Consider the following 8132-nt stretch of genomic DNA (forward strand, 5'->3'; position numbering starts at 1 on the left):
TTGGGAGGCCAAGGCAGGCGGATCACCTGAGGTCAGGAGTTCAAGACCAGTCTGGCCAATGTGGTGAAACCCCGTCTCTACTAAAAATGCAAACATTAGCGGGGCATGGTGCCAGGCACCTGTAATCCCAGCTACTCAGGAGGCTGAGGTAGGAGAATCCCTTGAACCTGGGAGGCAGAGGTTGCAGTGAGCAGAAATCACGCCACTGCACTCCAGCCTGGGCGACAGAATGTGACTCTGTCAAAAAAAAAAAAGGAAGAAGAAGAAGAAAAGAAAAAAAAGATGATATAGAAGTGACCGTCATTTATAATCCACTTGATTGACCCAAACTAGATCCAGTGAAACTTTTCCTTTTATGAGTAATGCTTTTAAGGTCAAATCTAGAATATTAACATAATTCTCAAAACTCAACAGTAGAAAAAAACAGAGTAAATTAAAAAAGTAAAAATGTAAAATAAAAATGGACAAAAATATGTACAGAAGTTTCACCAAAAAAGCATATACAGATGGCAAATAAACACGTGAATAGATATTCTGCATTGTTAGCCATTTGGAAAATGCGAATCACAACCACAATGAAATATCAGTAGTCATCTATCAGAATGATTAACATTAAAAATAGTAATAATATCAAAAATAGCAATAATGTGGAGAAACTGAATCACTCATATACTGCTGGTGGGGATGTAAAAGGTACAACCACTCTGAAAAACAGATTTATAATTTATTTTAAAAACTGAGCATACACTTAACCACACAACCCAGCAATTGCACTCTTGGGCATTTATCCCACAGAAATGAAAACTTATCTGCCCACAACAAAAATGGTACATATATATTCATAGCTTCTTTATTACTAATAGCTAAAAACTAGGAATAACTCCGGTGTCCTTCAATGGGTGAATGATTAAACAAACTATTATATAATCATATCACAGAATATTATTCAGCAATAAAAAGAAATGAACTATTGACACCCCCACTAACTTGATTGAATCTCCAGAGAATTATATGGAATGAAAAAGCCAACACCAAACAGTTATACAATGCATGAATTTATCTCATGTAATAAACAGTATAGATACAAGCAATCTGTATTTGGAGAGGTGGATTTTCATCTTTAATACATGGCTTTCAAGGTTGTTCTAATTGCCACAATTTCCAAGCAGAAGTAGGAGTAGGAGGGAGGAAGTCAAGGATAAGTAGCTTTACCTTTAAGAAGATGACATAACTGGCATCCGTTATTTATGATCTACCCAACTGGCCCAAACTATTAGTCTGGGGCAAAAGTAATTATTATGTTGGTCCCATTGAAAGTAATGGCAAAAACCGCGATGACTTTTGCACCAACCTAATAGATTACCTTGCTGCAAGACAGGCTGAAGAATGTACTCTCTAGCTGGGAGGCCCTGGGCCCAGCTAAAATTGTGTGTGCATCTTTTCTAAGTAGGTAGAAGAGGATGAGAATAATTCCTGGGGACTAATGATCAGTCTCTGTCATACCAGCTTCAAAACTCTTCACAATCTAACCTGCAAATTCCTATAGTCTACTACTTCTCCAGGAAAACCTGTTTGATAGACATATAGATAGATGATAGATAGGTAATTAAACATTTTTAAATAATCAAATAATTAATCTTCTGACATCACTAGAGTTAGTACATTTTTTAAAAGGGCTAACCTCATCTCTCCTTTTTGAAACTACTTAAAGATCCTTGATCTGTATGACCAATGCATTTACTTAATCATACAATTTGTATGATTAATCAATTTGATAAATGAGACATTGAATATTTACTACACACTGAACTGTAAGTTCTTTATAAGCAGTTCTAGCACAACAGGTGTTTAATAGATACAGAATAATTGAATGAGTACAGTGTGTTCTATCTACTGTGAATAAAAAATAAATAAAATAAGTAAATGAGACTTATTTGGAAGAGAAAGGAATGGTTGTCCATTTGATTGTGCCCTGAAGTTCCAGTTTCTCAAAAATCCACTCTGAGACCCTGAAGCCAAACTTATGCTATTTATGCTTTTCCCTTTTTTCTTATTTGAAGCATGTTTAAAAAGTGTTGACATAGTATAAGCCAGATTTCTTGGAACAAGCTGTCTTCTCACAATACATATGATTTAGCAACAGTTGTTTTTTCAGATGTTCCCACCTCCACAGTAATCTTTGTGGAGGCAAGTGACAATAAAGTATACCTACTTATTCCAACATTTAAAAAAAAAAACAAACAAACAAAAAAAAAACAGAAAACCCTTTGTATAGTCAAGCATGCAAGGTTTTTTTCTTAATTCAAAATCAAATAATAGACCAGGACCTACAGTGATTTCTTTGTACCTGGCATATCCACTGCACTCTTCTTGCTACTCAATGTGCCACTCGAATATCACAATATTTTTCAGAATTCTAGAGTAGTGAGAGTCTTTGTGGTCAGACTGACAAGTATTCAAATTTCAGCACCACCTACTGTGTGCCTCAGTTTTCTTATCTGTACAATAAGTATAATAATTTAGGGTTGTTATGGGGATTAAATGAATAAATATAGGTACAATATTTAAAATACTATGTGACATTTAGTAAGCAGCACATAAATGTTCTTTCTTAGTTTTATTATTTGGAAGTGTTCTGTGGCTTCTTTATCTCCAGTCCTCACTTCTCCCTAGAATTCTAGACTCAAATATGTAACTCCCTACTTCATTGATATCTTTACTTAAATATCTATAACTATCTCATATTTAACATTTGCAAAATACACTTCCTGATTCCTACTCCCAAACTTGTTTATTTCTCTTAGTAATATCTAACTCTCCACCCTCCCACCACAGCTGCTAAAGAAAAATTCTAAACTCTGTCCTTAATCCATTCTTTTCTCTCACCATTCACTCTCAAACTAAGTCTTATCAGCTCTTCCTCCAAAATATAGGATCGCTTTTCCTATCATCACTGCCTTTACCCTTAGCTATCTCACCATCAACTCTTGATACTCTTATCCAGGCTTGGGGCTCCCCTTATAGTCTTCAGGTGGCAGTCAAGGTGAACTTCTTAAAAAAAAATCAGATCAGATCTCCTCCAAATATTCTCCAAATGGCTTATGGAAATTCAGATTCTAAAAAGATTGAAACTTCAGATATGGCTATCCAGTTTCCTTCATTGGCAGATAGGTTTCCTCATGAACAAATTTCAATATTCAGTGATGTTATCTATGAGATGCAGAAAGTAGAATGAATTCAATCTGAGCAGAGGACCCAGTGAGAAAAGACTGCCACTGTCACTTTTACTTCAGTGACATTACTCATAGGGTCTAAGACTATCTAGTGACCTCAATTAATCAAAAGTTACCTCTATTATTAATACCCCAAAACAATTATTTTAATTATACAATTGGTAAATAATTATGATTCACATTCAACATGTCTATGTTTCAGGCACTCCGTTAGATTTAAATCTTTCAACGTTTCATCATAGTGATAGAAAATGGGTTTTCAAAGATCCCAAAAGTTCTTTAGTTTGTTTATTTGGTAAGAATAAGAAGTGTGTGTGTGTGTGTGTGTGTGTGTGTGCATGCATGATTTAAAATCACAGCCTTCCAGAGCATAATTGTATTAACTGCCGTCTACTTAAAAAAAATTAAACATCGTTTAACATATGCCCAAGTCACCAGATTATTAATATTAAACTCTTCAACATACATATAGCAAGGTCAAAATTTGTGCCCTGCATACAAATATACAAAACAAGACAGAATGGCTTTTTTACCATTACTGTTCTCAGGCTGCTTTGAAGCACCCATCTTGGTGGTAGTCTGGAGATTACGTACCAAAATTATCAGTTAAATGTATATCAGCCACTTTTCCTACAAAAGTCTCTCTTGGATAAAGGCTTCAGGGAATAGGGCAAAAAGGCTAATGTGTCCAGATGGCAGTAGGATTAGTCATAACTAGCCCATGTGCAAACCTTGAATTTTATTATGAGCCCTCACTAGCTTAACTTCCATGTCTTTTAATGCTGCTTGTACCTACTGCTACAGTGGGCAACCAGAAAAAGTGAGGTATGTTCTTTCAGTGTTGGGTCCTGTGATTATCCTTCACTGACTTGCCACTATCCTGTCACTTGTTGGAATTCCAGATTCTCTGAGTGTCAGCCATATTTTCTTTCTTACTCCAGGTGAGGATGTGCTGCTATGGAGGCACCTCACTCACTTCTTTCCACAGAATTCCATGGCAGACCCATGGCCTTCAAATCAGTTGTCTCCTGTATTTCTACTGAGCATATTTGGGAAACTCTGTTGCCTACACACCACAGGGGAGCAAAGACTCATGGGGCATTTCTTCTGATGCTCTCTGTTTTATTCCTTTACTAGCAATTTCCAACTAATCATTGCACCTCAAGTTTATAAACATGAATAAAACACCATTTTCTTATTTGAGGAATTCACAGGCTGGTGAGGAAGAAAAGGATAAAACAGGTCATTTGGTGAGGTAAGTCTCAAGGTACAACTGGAACACGAAGATAGGAATGGTTTCCCTCTCTTAGATCCATGTTGGCCATCAGAATCCCTAAGACAGGAATTCTGGTCTGCAATGATAGCACTTGTAAGGTAGTAAATCTAAAATCAAGGCAATGTCATTCAAATGTGACTCTCTCTGCAACTTTGATGGTTTCCTTGTCTTAGAAAAAGTATACCAAAAACTCTCCCTTATCCCAATGACTGAAGTCAACTAATCAAGGCAGGCTCTCTACTGCTGCTGGACATACACAGAATTAAAGAAGATACTAAAGAATGGAAAAACAAGGGCTTCTAACCAACTGCTAAAAAAAACTGGTTACCACAAAGAAAAGCCAGGTTAAAGCAAAAGAACTCAGAAAGTTAAACTCTTCACAAGGACCCATAGTGGATCACCAATGGGCCCTTGTGAAGAGTTTAACTTCCTGGGTTCTTTTTACTTAGATCACAGTTTCTCATTTTGCTTCTATTTATTTAAGTCTCTTAAAAACACTTTTTCCTTTTTCTTCTATCTGTTGAGCAAAGCTCTAACTCATCTCCTACTGACATGAGCTAGTTTCACTCCATGCCACCTACCTTTTTTAAGGCTCTACTTAAGTGTTAGAATAATGCCCTGGGAGTAGAGGTTCTGGGAAGAGTCTTTGGAGCCCTTTGGCTATCCAAGTCCACCAAGAAATTTAAATTTGGGCCATTTGAGATTTCCCCATCAGAATGAGCTGCAGATAAGTTCCTTTACTCTTCCACTGGGGTAACTATTGAATATCCTCCCACCCCTCTCTCTAATGTGAATGTATTTCTGTTGAGATATTACTTTTATCCTTCACAAGCATCACTATCTCCATTTTCATCCTCTTCTCTTATGTCCCTTTCTTGAGATTTTGTATCTCTTCTTCTCAGACAGACTTCTCAGACTTCTTTTTTATTTCTTGGTTTTCAAGGACAAGTGTTTATAAGCTTTCATTTTATTCTTGACACAGTTGTCCTTGGTTTAGTCTTCATTTGTCTTTGGTTTACCATGTCTCTTTCCTTCTGGGTTTTTCTCCTCCCTTCCCACCCCCAAGAACATTTACATAGGTTCCAAGCCGGTCCCTTTCTGATAATACTCATGTTTAAATCTGAGCTGTTCTTCTAGAGACAGTTTTTTGTCTAGAGATTGTGTGGAAATATCTTCACTGCCCTCTTGTCTTAAAAAAAAATCCAGGATTGTTTTTAAACACATATATTTTGCTAGATTATACTTAGCATGGTACAGATCTATTTTTTTAATTTTTTTCTAATTATCTAATAATGTGTTAATTAATTCCTTTAAAAATACTGAACTCTCAGCTAAAATTAAAATTCACCATTAAATACAGCATCAGCATCATATTTAAACGGTACAGGCAACAACTTAGGAATGCATGAAGTGCACACACCCACATAAATACAAAACATACATACACAATATAACAAAACCATTCATACACAATATAACAAAAACAAGATCTAAATATTCCTTTATAAGAAGGTAAGTTTAATTATGAGTAAATAACAAGCATTACATGTAATAATTTTAAAATTCTAGACCAATAAATAATTTTCACACATTAGAATACAAGATTATTAATGAAGCCTGTGGGTTCAGTGAGGCAGCCTCTTCCCAATTCTGAACTATGCAGTTAAGAAATATTTAGCCTCCCTTTCTGACAAATTTCACTTCCTGACAGTATTCTGGCAATAGTTATAATATTTTTAAAACATAAACAACAGTGTATTTGACCTGATTCAATCAAAAATTATTTAAAGCAAGCAACATATTTACCGTAAGATTTTCTTGTAATTTTTATCTTTTTATAGTCTCAAACTACCACTTTTCTCCTAGGCCTACGTAATACTGCCCCTACTCACTACTCTTAACATTTACACGAAAACTATTTAATGGATTAGTGTTCATTTGTTTCCCTAGAATAACTACCCACTGTAGGAACTCTAATGCCACTTTTGATTCTAAAAGCATTTTAAAACATGTCAAGAACATGCTAAAAAAATGAAGTTTCCTTACAGTTTTCTTCAGTGGGGGCATGGTTTGGGTTCTTCTTTTTTTTTGGCATTTGATCACTCCTCCCCCTCTTTAACCCCTCACTGTTTCATAAATCACAGCAAATGTTTCTCCATGATTTTTTGGAAAAAATTTTGGAAGAAGAGAACATTTTTGCCAGTCTTTTTGCCTAAATGCCAAATATCTGTGAGTGCTATTCTCATATCCAAATAACCAAAGCAGATCCTATTTTTTTTGGTGGCTAACAGTACCTTCACCATAGAAACAGCTTTCTGGCTATAGTTGTGAATCACATATACATAGTGACAGCAACGAGTTCCCGATTCTGCAACACATTTTAACCCATTCAGTACACAACAGATGTCCCACATATATTGATCACTCCTTGTTTCACCTACTTCATTTGAATAGCCACCTGACCACATGCATTTAACTTCTCTCTGTCCCAAAACTCTATTAAATCAAATGTAGAAAAGTAAACAAGTAAAAAATAAAAAATAATTACCTACAAAGACAAGGAAAATGGAAGAGAATGTAATAACAGATGAATATTTTAAAATAATTTTGTAAAAATGTGGATACTGGAGTGGTAGCTATATTAGCAAATTTTAAAAAAGGAAAAAGGAGATTTGCAATCTATATACCTACAGAGGGGTAAGCCTAAAAAGAAGAAACCCCTGAAAGGCTCAGCTCTCAAAGACTATAGGAACTTCAGTCCATAAGGGTAGATTACACAAATAAAAACAAGTGGCTTATAGAAAGCATGTACATAGATCATTTGTCCTCCCTATACCCTTTATGTGCAGCCATCTGTCAACCCCTTCCATAGAAAAGACTGGGGGGTTATATTTCGGGTAAATAACACAAATGTGAGGTGCAATGGGGGCAAGTTGGATGTGTAAGTCTCAAAAAAGGGGGCATGTGAAGTCTGACATGTAAGACCTTCATTCCACATTTTTGGTAGAATACTGCAATTAGCTGATACAACTCCCACCTTCCCAACCAAGCTTCAGATTGGATGATTCTTCTCTGAAGAAATGTAAGAAATGAACAGTTCCATGCAAAATATTCCCACACGCTGACATCTGAAGATCCTTACTCACATGGTTGACTTACTCCTTGATCTTTCTAGAGTATACCATTAATCAAAAGCATTGCCCATCCACACAATTTCCAACCAATACTTTAGTGTTTTGCAATAAATATGAACGGATAGCCAAACTTAGCATTACATGTTTGTTAAAAACTTCCATGTGAAAGATAGAGACCAAAACAAAACAAACTATAAAATAGTATTCAGAAAAAACAAAAAATTCAGATAGGAGAATAAATCTTTGTGAGAAAACTATAATTAAATTCCTCAGAGATAACAGAAGACATTACATCTATGAAACAGGAATAGGATGCATGAAAATAAGCTAACCTGAGAATAAGAATTCTTGAAATTAAAAATATGATAAAAATATGATAAAATTTTTAATCAAAGATTTAAAAGGCAAAAGCAAGCAAATCTGGAAATTAGAGGAAAAGGACAAATGAGCAATAGAGCTGAAAGGAAGGAAGGAAGGAAGGAAGGAAGG

Source organism: Homo sapiens, chromosome 1 (assembly GCF_000001405.40).
Source record: "Homo sapiens chromosome 1, GRCh38.p14 Primary Assembly".
NCBI classification, from domain to species: Eukaryota; Metazoa; Chordata; class Mammalia; order Primates; family Hominidae; genus Homo; species Homo sapiens.